This window comes from Homo sapiens, chromosome 20 (assembly GCF_000001405.40).
Source record: "Homo sapiens chromosome 20, GRCh38.p14 Primary Assembly".
Taxonomy (NCBI): Eukaryota; Metazoa; Chordata; class Mammalia; order Primates; family Hominidae; genus Homo; species Homo sapiens.
In genome coordinates, this window is record NC_000020.11 from 43,761,908 (window position 1) to 43,775,128 (window position 13,221).

A 13,221-nucleotide genomic window follows, 5' to 3' on the forward strand; every position below is an offset into this window, starting at 1 on the left:
ATTAATATAGGTAATTAGGAATGTTTTGGTCAAGAGACACAAAATTGGTTTCTTCCAAGAGCAGTAAGGAGAATGGGGAGAAGATTTAGTCTTTCATTAAAAAAATTTGAGAGCCAACAAGTGCTCAGTAGAGTGAGTGGTGCTTGGACGGAGGGGTGGACAGGCCGGATGGGACTCAAGCGAGACTGTGCTACCCAGACCTGGGCAGTGCTCCAGGGATGCTTAGCAGAGGGGCAGGAGGCTGTGGGGGATGCCGCTGTCTGGGCCTTGTCCTTTTTGTGCTAAGCATCCCCAGCTCCCTGCACAGGCCCCAAATGTGGTAAATGCATGGCAGACCTTGGGGCATGAGGGGATGAGAGGGGACCTTCCAGAAGAGTAGAGTGGGAACAGACCATGAAAGCTTGGGATTGCAGACCCTAGCTCTGCCATGGGACAAGAAACCAGTCCCTCTCAGATACCATTCGGCACTCGTTTCTGCCTCAGAACTGAGAGCAGCAAAGGGCTTCTGTGTTTGTCCTGCTCCTGGCTTCTTTTTTCTTTTTCTAGAGACAGGGTCACGCTCTGTCTCCCAGGCTGGATTGCAGTGGCACAATTGTAGCTGACTGTAATCTCAAACTCACTTCTGGGCTCAAGTAATCTTCCCACTCCGGTCACCTGCTAATTTTTATTTTTGTTTTTTGGTAGAGACAGGGTCTTGCTATGTTGCCCAGGCTGGTCTTAAACTCCTGTCTCTAGTGATCCTCCTGAGTTGGCCCCCCAAGATGTTGGATTACAGGCGTGAGCCACTGCACCTGGCCTTCTCCTTGCTGCCTTGTCCAATGGGATTTCGGGACTCATGTGACTTCAGCTACCTTGTTTGTACTGACCATCATCACTAACTACAGAAATACTACAAGGCCGAAGCTCTCAAGCCCCTAACCTGGTAGTTACAAAGGGAGAAGTTTCCTAAGCTCACCAGAGTGGCACTTGACCTAACTACACACTTCTGCCTGGACTCAGGAAGCAAACTACCATGGACCTCGTCACCCGTAATCACATGCACAGGCAGGCACTTGCTCATGGCCATTTTCTTTTGTTTTGTACACAAGTCTAATAACTCCACTATTTTTAGTAAAGTGAGAGTTGATGGCATGGCTGTTGGTAGGCACATGGACACCAGCAGGAGGGAGTAGCTGGAAGCCTGTCAGTGAGGTCAGGAACTGGAGAAATATCAAAGCAATTACACGAGGCCAGGATGGCATGCTGGGGCCGCTCAATGTCAGAGCACAGAGCGCTCTACTCTGGCCTAGCGCAGCCACTGACCGTTCTTAGCCATAGCCTTGAGTCACCCAGGAAAGAGCTTACCAACAACCAAGCAGGAGCTTTGGGATCATAAAGTTCTGGGTTCAATTCTCTGCTCCCTGTTTGCAGGGCTCTAGGCAAAGAGTCTCCCTCTTTTGCCCAGGCTGGAGTGCAATACCACAATCTCAGCTCACTGCCACCTCTGTCTCCCAGGTTCTAGTGATTCTCCTGCCTCAGCCTCCTGAATAGCTGGAACTACAGGCGTGAGCCACCATGGCCAGCTACTTTTTTTGTATTTTTAGTAGAGATGGGATTTCACCATATTGGCCAGGATGGTCTCAATTTCTTGACCTTGTGATCCGCCCGCCTCGGCCCCCCAAAGTGCTGGGATTATAGGCGAGAGCCACCACGCTTGGCTTTTTTATTTTTATTTTTTTAAAGACAGAGTCTCACTCTGTCACCCAGGCTGGAGTGCAGTGATGCGGTCTTGGCTCACTGCAATCCTGACCTCCTGGGTTCAAGTGATTATTGTACCTCATCCTCCCAAGTAGTTGGGACTACAGGCACGCACCATCACACCCAGCTACTTTTTGTATTTTTAGGAGAGGTGGGCTTTCACCATGTTGGCTAGGCTGGTCTTGAACTCCTGACCTCAAGTGATCTCCCTGCCTTGGCCTTCCAAAGTGCTGGGGTTACAGACAGTGCCTGGCTGGTCTAGGCAAATCACTTTTAATACTGCTTTCATATTAGAGTGTTGGGAGGATTAAATGAGTTTACAGAGCACATAGTAAATGCTCATGAAAAATTAGCCGCTATTGGCAGGGAAATGAATGATGGTCAACGACATGCAACAACATGGATGAGCCTCAAAATCATTCTAATGACAGGAAGAAGCAGGCACAAAAGGGCACTTACCGTCCAGTTTCATTCATAGAAATCGCAAAACAGGCACAAGTCATCTGTGATATTAGAGGTCAGGATATTGGTTATGGGGGTTTGCCATTTTTGTTGTAAAATAGAACAGATAGAAATAATGCAGCAGGGAGGTGAATTTTGAAATATTGTATATTTCAAAATAGCCAAAAGAGGATTTTAAGTGTTCATACCACAAAGAAATGGTTAATATATGAGGTGATGGATATGCCAGTTTAATACCCTTATTTGATTATTCTACAATGTATACATATATCAAAACATCACATTGTACCCCATAAATACATACAATTATTATTTGTCAATTAAAAATTAAATAACAGCCAGTGTGGTGGCTCATGCCTGTAATCCCAGCACTTTGGGAGGCTAAGGCAGGAAGATTGCTTGAGCTCAGGAGCTCAAGACGAGGCTGAGCAACACAGCAAGACTTGTCTCTACTAAAAATAAAAAAAAAATTGGCTAGGCACGGTGGCACGCACTTGTAGTCCCAGATACTTGGAGGCTGAGGTGGGAGGATTGCTTGAGCCCAGGAGGTTGAGGCTTCTCTGAGCCGTGATAGTGGCACTGCACCACAACCTAGGTGACAGAGCCAGACCCTGGTTCAAAAAAATTAAATAAAACATTGAAAAGATTACATAAGATAAACCTGCTGCAGTTTAGGGAATTACTGTGAGGCTACCCCTGAAGCTAGTCCTGATCACAGTCTTCTTCCTCCCTCTCAATATTTTGTTTCTTGATCTGAGTGTTAGTTACCCAGGGGTGTTTATGAAAAGTGGGGGAGCAGTACACTTACGTGCGCTTCTCTATATGCATATTATGCTTCAATAAAAAGCTTAAAATTAGGCCGGGTGTGGTGGCTCACACCTGTAATCCTAGCACTTTGGGAGGCTGAGGCAGGCGGATTGCCTGAGCTCAGGAGTTCACAACCAGCCTGGGCAACACAGTGAAATCCCGTCTCTACTAAAATACAAAAAATTAGCCGGGCGTGGTGGTGTGCGCCTGTAGTCCCAGCTACTCGGGAGGCTGAGGCAGGAGAATTGCTTGAACCTGGGAGGCAGAGGTTGCAGCAAGCCAAGGTCATGCCACTGCACTCCAGCCTGGGCGACAGAGCGAGACTCCGTCTCAAAACAAACAAACAAAAAGTTAGCACTTATTATTTTTCTTAATATTATTATCAAATTAACTTATTGGAGCTTTAAACTCTTCATCTGTCTAATGGGGTTGATTACCCCATTTTTTGCAGAATTGTTAGAAGTTACAGTATTCACAGCATATTCGTTGGTTCATTCAGCAGATATTTACTGAGTGCCTGCAGGCTCGGGCACTGTTCTAGGTGCTGGTGATAAAGACGTGATCCAAACAGACAAAAATCATGGGGTTTACATGCTGGCGAGGGAGAGAGACATGCTAGGCACTCACAGAGAACTATGAAATTTGGACAGCACCCTCTGGTTCAGAAAATAAGATCCTGGACCACATCTCTATCCCATATGGTGAAGTTTGTTTGGTTTGGTTTTGATTTGGCTCCTTAAATAATTAGCTTCACTATTACAAAATCTTGGTTAGCACAAAGTCAGATGAGTGAAAGTGTGTGGATGCTACATAAACAATGCCTGCCTTTTCTAGAATTTCTAGGTGCAATCAAATTGCGAATTAGAGCAAACCACCCGTCATAAGCCGCTGCGTTGAGGACCAAGGAATGAATAGCCCAGCAAAGAAATGCTTTCTCTCTCCTGTTTTGAGGAACTCGGGCCCTGTTTTGAGGCCCTGCACCCTGCAGGCAGGAAAGCGTTAAGAAAGAAATGTGCATTTCCACTGAACAAGAAAATCAACTTAGAAAAGAAATGTGTATTGGAAAATATCTATTTGCCTGCAAAATAATGTAAAAATAATGAGCTCCTATTCCCCTTTGATGTGCAGCGCACGCTTTTAAGGAAAGATTCTGCATTTCTGAGATACTGGGCCTGGCGTGTAATGAAGTGGTTGTTATGGCAACAACTTTCAAAAGCAAGTATTTTCTGAGATGTGCTCCACACAGCCAGCGTGAGAGAGGAAAACATGAAAACAGAGACAGGGAGATGAGCTAAACAGAAGGCATTAGATGCGGAGAGCATCCGCTCCAGGTCCAAGGGGGAAGAAAAGTGCCCGCTGCCCCCACTTTCCCAGCCTGGATTTGCAAAGCTGCAGGGGAAGACAGACCCCTGCCCTGGAAGGGGCCCCTTGAGGAATGGAGCTGGGACAAGGCAAGGTTGGGGCTGAGACAGTGTGAGACTGTGGAGAGTGATAGGCGGCTTGAGCCTGGGGGCTCCATCACCAGTCCCTCACCACGGCCCCCTCCTCCCAGCCCGACTCCAGCCTCAGCCTCTGCCCCTCCCAGCCTCCATGCTCTTCATTCATTCCAGGTACCAGTCTTCCCACTGGCAGTCCGGGCCTTCTGCCCATTCCACCCCATCATGTGCCTGGGGTTCCTGCCAGGCTGGGCATAGCACCAGGAGCCGGCATTCATCACCCTCTTTGCTCTGCACAGCAACCCCAAGTGCCTGGCAAATAGTAGCTGCCCGATCTCTATTTGTGGAGTCAATAGGTGGTCCTTCTCTGACAGCTACTGCTATTGTCCCCATTTTGTTGGTGAGGTAGTTGAGGCTTGGAGATGTTGAGTGATTTGCCCCAGCCCTGCAGGCAGCGGGCAGTGGAGCTGGGCTGCCCCCACCCCTGCATCGTGCTGCCTCTCAGTACCCCGATCCCAGCCTCCCTGTCTTTGTTCATACTGTGTCTCTGCCTGGTGCACCCTCTCTTGTCTCGTAAGACCTGACCCAAAGGCCATCCTGTGGCCATGATGTCATGAAAATGCTGCCTCTAAATGAGACTCCTGGATGTGTCAGTGTCTGGGGATGGGGTCCTCACTACCTGCTAGGGAGTCTGGGCTGGGCACACATGTCCTGGCGGCTGGGAACTGCCAGGAAGAGAGCCGCCTCCAGAGGGACCGTGTCTGTCCCATTCACCATGCTCCTCCCCATGCAATGCCGGGCACAGCGGTGACACTCAGGAACCCTTGGGTGAATGAGAGACTTTGGAACGCAGACAGTTTGGAAAGGTCCTGGTCGGTCAGGTTTTGGAGATCTTTGGGGCTGCCCCAGCCAAAGCTTTCTTGTGATTGGATAACCTCCTCAAACGCAGCCCAAGCTCATATTTGACAGTGATGGTGAGGAGGGGTGCATGTGAGTGTGTGTGGCATGTGAGTGTGTAAACGTGTGTGCATGGCCTTGTTGGAGGTGATTTGCCTGAAAAAGGAGTCTGGGCTACACTCGTGTGTGCCTCTGTCAGGGGTGAGGGAGATGCGTGTGTGCACAGATTTGAGGAGATCTGTCTAAAGGGGCATGCATCTCAATATGTGTGTTTCAGGAGCAGGTAGTGTGTGTGTCTGTGTGCGTGTGAATGGCCTTGATTGACAGGACTTGCTCTGTAAGGGGTCGTATGTTTGTATGCAGGTGTGCCTGCATGAGGGTGTGTCTTGTGTGTGTGCACCTGGTCTTGATGTATTTGTGTGTGTGCATGTGTGAGAGAGATGAGCATGTGAAGGAGTGTGCTTCAAAGAGAGGTTTGTATGAACGTGTGTGTATCAGGGGTGTACCTGGGAATGTGGGTATAGATGCCGGGGAAGAGCAGTGGATACATTCCTGGCTGCTGCATTTGTCAGGTAGAGGGAGCCTGTTGAAGTAAATGGGCTGTATTTTTGGTTCTCTGCTGCGAGAGAGCTTCTGGCAGCTGTGCTGGCAAACCTGTGAGTCACAGAGAGAGAACTATGCCATGATGCTGTCCTCTGGATCATAAAATGTAAGTTAGAGCCAGAAGCAGCCTTGGCAGTCACCTAGTTCTATCCCTTGTGTTACAATTGATGGAAAACAGAGAAGGGAAGCAAATTCTCCAGATCACACAGCGAACTCAGGATAGAGCTGGAACTTGGACTTGTGTCTGGGTCTGGGACTTCCCAATCCTCCACTTCCTGCTGCCAGGTCCCTGAGGAGGAGAGAGAGGGTTAACCACAGAGTAATTAATACCAGGCACCAGAGTATTATAAAATTTCATTTCCACTTTAATTAGGGGAACTTAAAAAAATAGAAGTCTTTGTTGTGTCAATTAGTTGATTGACTATCGTTGGTTTCTGGGTTAGGGAAACTTGATCTGCAGTGAATGAATTTGTTTATCAGGGAAAAGGAGCCAGGGGGTGGAAAGAGAAATTCAATTAAGTGTCAGGCTGCTAAGTGACAGGCTGCATTTGATAGAACTTTTAGCTTAATTGCTTGTATTTCATTAAGAGTTTTATTTATCAGGAGCATTCTTCATGTTAAAAATCTCAGGTGGTGTCTGCGTGGCTTTGGGCTATTTTTCTGCATTGATTAAGGACATTGAATTGTGGACCTGAAGAATTACCTGGGACCTCAGAGACATTCTTGTCCGGGCAAAAACCGTCCTTTATCCTAGCTCCCGGGGCTTGTGTCCCCCTCATGCCTCCCCTCCCATAGTTATATCCAAAGTTTAGTAAGTGTTGCATTTCTCTGGGGAGAATAATCTGTATTTCTTCTTTAGATTTGCAAAGGGATAGGAGTTGCATAGACAATAATACTCAGCCAGGCTGACCAACTTGTTTGGTTTTGCTCTTTGTTGTTGTTTTTCTTCCCCATAAAAACACATTTAATTGCATGCATAGTTGTAAAATTGTACATGAAGGCAGTGCTAGAAACTAAGTTACTATTACTTTGCATTAACAAAAATGACTGTAAAAATAACTATCCTTGAGAAGAAAATGAGCCTGACAAGATTTAATTTAATTAGAGATATGATTACTATCAGGGTTTTCCAAGAATGTCATATCAGCTCAAAAGTAGATGCATTTTATTATAAATCAAATGGGTCCTGGTGCCCCAGAGGTATATAAAAAATATACAGCGTGGCTTACTTGAGTTATTCTTTTCTGAAGGCCTCCAGACCCTTCTTGTGAGGAGAACTGTCCAATGCATAATCTATAATGGCTATAGAAAGGGAGGGAAGGAGGCAGGGAGGGAGGAAGGGAGGAGGGAGGGAGGGAGGGAGGGAGAGACAACCTGCTGAGCCTTGGGGCTCTATCACCAGTCCCTCACCATGGCCCCCTCTGGCCATCTGTGTGCACCTGTGGTCCCAGCTACTCAGGAGGCTGAGGTAGGAGGATCACTTGAGCCCAGGAGGTTGAAGGGGCTCACTTCAATCCCCTCTGGGCCTCTCTGAGCCTCGGTTCTCTCATTTATAAAGATGACCACTTGTTTTATAAGTGAGAGAACCAAGGCTCAGAGAGGGCCAGAGGTTTTCCGAAGGACACACAGCTAGCTATGGGCAGAACCAGGACTGGCACTTGTTCTTCCTGCTTCTTTTCCAAGAACCTGGCTCTGTGTGGGGCCTCTGAGTTGCTGGGCTTAAGTCCTTCAGGGACAGTTCAGCGGGGCAGCCATTTCTTTTCCTTTTGATCTATTAGGGCAGGAGAACAGAGTGGTTAGGACTGCTGTCACCACCTGGGCTTAAATTCTGGATCTTCTGCTTGTTTTGTGAACCTGGACAAGTGCTTTGACCACACTGGTAAATGGGATAGTAAGATCATCTGTCTCACTTGGCTGTCAGGAGGATCATGGGGTACTCCATGTAATGCACTTAGACTATACCTGGTACATAGTAAATGCTCAGTAAATACCAGCTATAATTATTATTGAGCTTCCAAGTAAGATTTCATTTGAAAAAATGTTCCTATTTTTTTTTTTTTTTTTGAGACAGGATCTCACTATGTCACTCAGGCTGGAGTGCAGTGACACAATCACAGCTCACTGCAGCCTCAACCTCCTGGGCTCAAGCGATCCTCCCACCTCAGTCTCCCAAGTAGCTAGGACCACAAGTGCACACCACCAAGCTCAGCTAATTAATTTTTCTTTTTTTGTAGAGACAGGGTCTTGCTATATTGCCTAGGCTAGTCTTGAACTTCTGAGCTCAAGCAATCCTTCGCCTCAGCCTCACTAAATGCTGGTATTACAGGCATGAGCCACCACACCTGGCCTCTAATTCTTAAAAATAATTGAGGAGCATTGTGCTGGACTAAGTAGCTCCCTCTCCAATCAGTTCTTAAGAAGAAATAATTTACTCCAGGAGATGGGTGGACTCAGACGTGGTCCATGATGAGGGCTGGGGAACCGAGGTTTCCTACCACTTTGAGTTTTTCTCTTCCTGGCACTCCCTTTGGTCCCTGATTATTTTTCTTTTCTTTTCTATGGTAAACATCTATTCTGGCTCTATTCTCTTCCTCTTTCCTCTTCCCCACCTTTCCTGTCTTATCTCTCCCTCCCTCCGTCCCTCCCTTCCTCCCTTCCTGACTCCCTCCCTCCCTCATTTCCTTCCTTCTTCCTTCCTTCCTTCCTTTTTTCCTTCCTTCCTTCCTTCTTTCCTTCCATCCATCCATCCACCCACCCACCCATCTGTTGGGTGTGGGAGGTGGCTTCTACAGTCTCTTAAGAGCTGATTGTGCCTGTCTGTTTCTGACTCTGCATTTAATGATGTCACTTGGTGGCTTGACATCAGCCATGGTGGGAACGTTTACGCCATGGAAATTGGAGAACACTACAAATAAAGGCTTTTTTTGGGATTATTTGTTTGCTATTTTGAAAACTATTTTTCAGCCTACTGTTTCATCCATCCATCCCTGTATCATGCATCCCTTTCTCTGGATGTCCAGACATCCAACCACCAAACCATCATCCGTTGAACCATTCATTCATCTGACATGTATTAAGCACTTCTTGTGAGCCAGGCCCTATACAAGCTCCACTGGGAGGGCAGAATTGGCCGGAGCCTGCTCCCTGCCCTTGAGGAATTGACACTTTAGTGGAACAGACACCTTACACACTCAAGGACTGTCCTGGACATCATCTCATTTGATGGTCATGGTCGGTATTGTTATCTCAGTGTAACAATTGAGGAGATTAAGGCTCAGAGAGGTGAAATGAATGGCCTGAGGTCACACAGCTGGCTGTCCATTCATTTGTTTACTCGTATGACAAGGTTTACAGAGGTGCTTAAATCCAGCCAGATGCCAAGGTGAAAACTGATTTTCAAACCTGTCCTTCAGAAATAAACCTTCTTAAAAAAATAAAAAGAAAGAAAATAAAAGAATAGGGAAAGTTATTTTTCCATCTTGCTTAGATGGGGACAGTTTTGAATTTATTTTTTTCAGATTGAACAATCGTTCCTCAAATGGATAGTGATAGGTGATCTAAAAAATAATCTTTAAAAACGTCGCCGAGTTGGGCATTTCCTCTGGGTGACATAACTCAGTGTGACAGAATGCATTTAAATTCACAGAAAAGAAATGGCAAGGAGTGCAATGTGGAAGGTGTTTGTGTGGCTGCCAGCTCCTTAACCCTCTCCTTTCACCATTCTTCCCCCTTTCCTCCACTGCCCCTGGGCCTGTGGGCACATTCGCTTCCCTCACTGCCTCCAGCCATATGTCTACACATACACATACGCATACGCATACACACACGCATACACATACACATACGCATACACATATGCATACACATAGCAGGGATCAAAAGCACTTCTGAAGATCCTGGGTCCCAGAATGTGGGCAGCTGATAGGCTGGGGGAAGAGGGTGTGGGTTTCCTAATGGGCCAAAGAAAGAGGTGCCAGGAATGCGTGGAAGATGATGTCTCTCTTTTCTCCAGATTCCTGTCTGTTCCCATTGTATTTCCATTCCTGCACATGGCCACCATGGTAACAAGGGAAGGGCTTTGCTTTGGGAAGGCCAGGGCCAGGCCAGGTGAGGCTCACGGACAAAGCATCTGCTGGTAACTTAGATTCAGCGTGCGAGGAAACCATGCTACAATTCCTCCCTGGCTTGGTGGGTGGCCTCCCTGTAAGAGACAGAACCCCAGGGCCATGCTAGGGTTGCAGCTGAGAGTGTGGATGGCAGCATGGTGCTCAAGGTGCTAGAGTTTCTTCTTTGTGATATTTTAGTTGTACTTCCCAAGGTATGTTCCATTATTTGCACACTGGTTTCTAGTTTCTGGCATTCTGCATCTGCCATTATGGCTGGGAAGAAAGAAGAGAGTAGAGAACTCCTTAGGGAGGAGAAAGAGGATCTGATGGAGAGGATGTCTTAAGTCAGCTTTCCTAGATGGAGATTCTTGCAGAATTTTTGCAGAGAGTAAATTATTGCAGATGGGGAGTGAAGGGAGCTGGACATGGTAGGGGAAGGACCTGAAGCTGGAGATCAGCTTTAACCTGATCCACAGGAAGCTCTGGAGTGTGAATTGTACCACAGATTGGCCCCTACTTGAGGCCAGGGGACTGGCATTTGTACTTCCACGTCAGTCACTAGCTACTGGTTGCCACTGGTGGGGATGGGAGTGAGAAGAGAGTAGCTTCCAAGAGGGGGCAGATCTGCCAAAGTCAAGTCTCTGGGAAAGGGAACAGGGTGAGCCTTCAGGACTCACAAGACCCAGGGGCTGGGGTACTAGTCTGATAAAAGGGGTGTTATGGTTTGAATGTGCCCCCTAAATTTCATGTTGCGGAAACCAAATTCCCAAATCCATATGTTGATTGGAGGTGGGGCCTTTGAGAGATAATTAAGATGAGATAAGGTCATCAGGCTGGGGCACCCATAATGGAACTGGTGGCTTTACGGGAAGAGGAAACCTGAGCTGGCACACTCCCTGGCTCTCATCATGTGATGCTTTCACCACATTATGACACAGCAAGAAGGGCCCCACCAGATGCAGCCCCTCAGCCTTGGATTTCCCAGCCTTCAGAACTGTAAGAAATACATGTTTTTTCTTAATAAATTACCCAGTCCCAGATATTAAGTTATAGCAACAGAAAGTGGAACAAGACAGGGTGTATGGGTTGGGAAGCAACAGCTACTACAAGGAGAACCTCAATAAGACAGGATAAAGGGAGAGGAGGGACTGTTTCCTTCCCTGCCCTGGGGGACTGTGGGAGGAATTCAGCAGCAAGGAGGAGGCACTCTTCACTCACTGCAAAAGTTCACAGAAAGCCCTCTTTTAATAACTGGGTGCCATCAGCAGGTAGGGGAAGAAACTTGAAAGACACATTCATGAAAGAGAGACCGAGGTGAGAGATGGTTTAAATACTTGCTGCTTTGAGTAAGGCTCCAGGACCAGCATCACCATCATCACCTGGAGCTTGTCCAAAATGCAGGCTCTCAGGTCCCACCTGAGGCTACTGAATCCAATCCGAAATTTTAACAAGATTCCCAAGTGATTTGTGTATACACTTAAAGTGTGAGATGTTCTCCTTAGAAAAAAGGTATTACACCAGGAAATGTGCCTCTTGGCTGGACAGACAGCTGAAGAGTAGCACAATATCTTCATTCGTTTATTCTCTGTTCTTTATTTTGTTTGTTCTTTCAACCCATCACTGTATTGAACATCAGTTTTCCAGGCAATGTCCTAGGGAAACAAAGCTTCCTGCATTCCTGGAGCTTGCTGTCTGTGGGGGAAAGCAGACATTGGCCATAAAATAATACACATAGTTTATTACAATTGTCATAAGTATTACAAAGAAAAAGTACAGGTGACAATAACAGCATAACACAGGGAAGCTGACCTGGTCTGGGGCTTACGGAAAGCTTTTCTGAGGAAGCAACATTGAAAAATGGGCGACAGCCATGTTCTAGGCAGAGGGAAGAGCCCATGCAAAGGTCCTGAGGCAGGAAGAAGCTCTGAGACTCTGAGGATGTTTTAAAAAATTCCAGTCCTGGCCGGGCCCATTTGTCCACACCTATAATCCCAGCACTTTGGGAGGCTAAGGCGGGAGGATCACTTGAGGTCAGGAGTTTGAGACCAGCCTGGCCAACATGGTAAAACCCCGTCTCTACCAAAAATACAAAAATTACCTGGGTGTGGTGGTGCGCGCCTGTAGTCCCAGCTACTCTGGAGGCTGAGGCAGAAGGAGCACTTGAACCCAGGAGGCAGAGGTTGCAGTGAGCCAAGATCATGCTATTGCACTCCAGCCTGGCAACAGAGTGAGACTCAGTCTCAAAAAAAAAAAACAAGAAAAAACTCTCAGTCCTTGCTGTGGACTTGAGAAGAATGAAAGAGAGAGAGGAGATGGGATAGAGAGATGGAGGCAGGGGTGCAACCCTGCAGGCCCTTGCATGCATTATAAGGATTTTGGACTTTTATCTTCAGAGCAGATGGCATCCTTGAGAAGAATGCTTAGTGTAACTCATAAGAGCGTGAACTCTGCCACTCACTAGCTGTGAGACCCTGGATGGGTGGCTGAACCTTTCAGCATCTTGATCTTCTCATCGGTAACAGAAGAACAAACTAGTGCCTATGTCATAGGGTGGTTTTTAGGATTAAATGAGTTGCTATATGTAAAGGGCTTATAACAGTGAATAGCACATGAGAATTTACAATGACAGCTGAAGGGTTTTTTTTTTTTTTTTTGACAGAGTCTCGCTCTGTCACCCATCCTGGAGTGCAGTGGTACGATCTTGGCTCACTGCAAGCTCCGACTCCTGGGTTCATGCCATTCTCCTGCCTCAGCCTCCTGAGTAGCTGGGACTACAGGCGTCCGCCACCGCGCCCGGCCAATTTTTTTGTATTTTTAGTAGAGACGGGGTTTCCCCGTGGTCTCGATCTCCTGACCTCGTGATCCGCCCACCTCGGCTTCCCAAACCGCTGAAGGGTTTTCATCAGGCCAATAATGTGATAAGATTTGTGGTGCTTCAAGAAATCACTCTCACTACTGCACAAGGGAAACTAGACTGCAGAAGAGACACTAGACTGTGGAAGGGAAAGTAGAGTGAAGGCAGAGAGACCAGTCAGAAGATTACAGCTCCCCAGGAGTAGGATGATGGCAGCTCAGACCAGGGCAGAAGCAGTGGATGTGGAAAGAGGATGGATGAATAGACTTGGTGAATTGTCGGGTTTGTGTGCTAGGGCTGGGGGAAGGGAGTGGGCGTG

At 47.2% G+C, this 13,221-nt stretch overlaps 1 long non-coding RNA gene across 1 annotated transcript in view, besides 2 other annotated features; it reads left to right on the plus strand.

Annotated features, from left to right (window-relative positions):
- LOC101927200 (uncharacterized) overlaps positions 1-13,221 on the plus strand; it is a 91,977-nt gene that overhangs the window by 32,989 nt on the left and 45,767 nt on the right. The gene's annotated exons all lie outside the window — the stretch shown is intronic.
- Positions 4,303-4,803: an enhancer, noted in NCBI's record as "H3K4me1 hESC enhancer chr20:42394850-42395350 (GRCh37/hg19 assembly coordinates)". NCBI's record gives its function as "activates a minimal SCP1, AML or CMV promoter by ChIP-STARR-seq in primed H9 embryonic stem cells {active_cell/tissue: H9 hESC(primed)}" and the evidence as "EXISTENCE:reporter gene assay evidence [ECO:0000049][PMID:30033119]".
- Positions 4,804-5,304: an enhancer, noted in NCBI's record as "H3K4me1 hESC enhancer chr20:42395351-42395851 (GRCh37/hg19 assembly coordinates)". NCBI's record gives its function as "activates a minimal SCP1, AML or CMV promoter by ChIP-STARR-seq in primed H9 embryonic stem cells {active_cell/tissue: H9 hESC(primed)}" and the evidence as "EXISTENCE:reporter gene assay evidence [ECO:0000049][PMID:30033119]".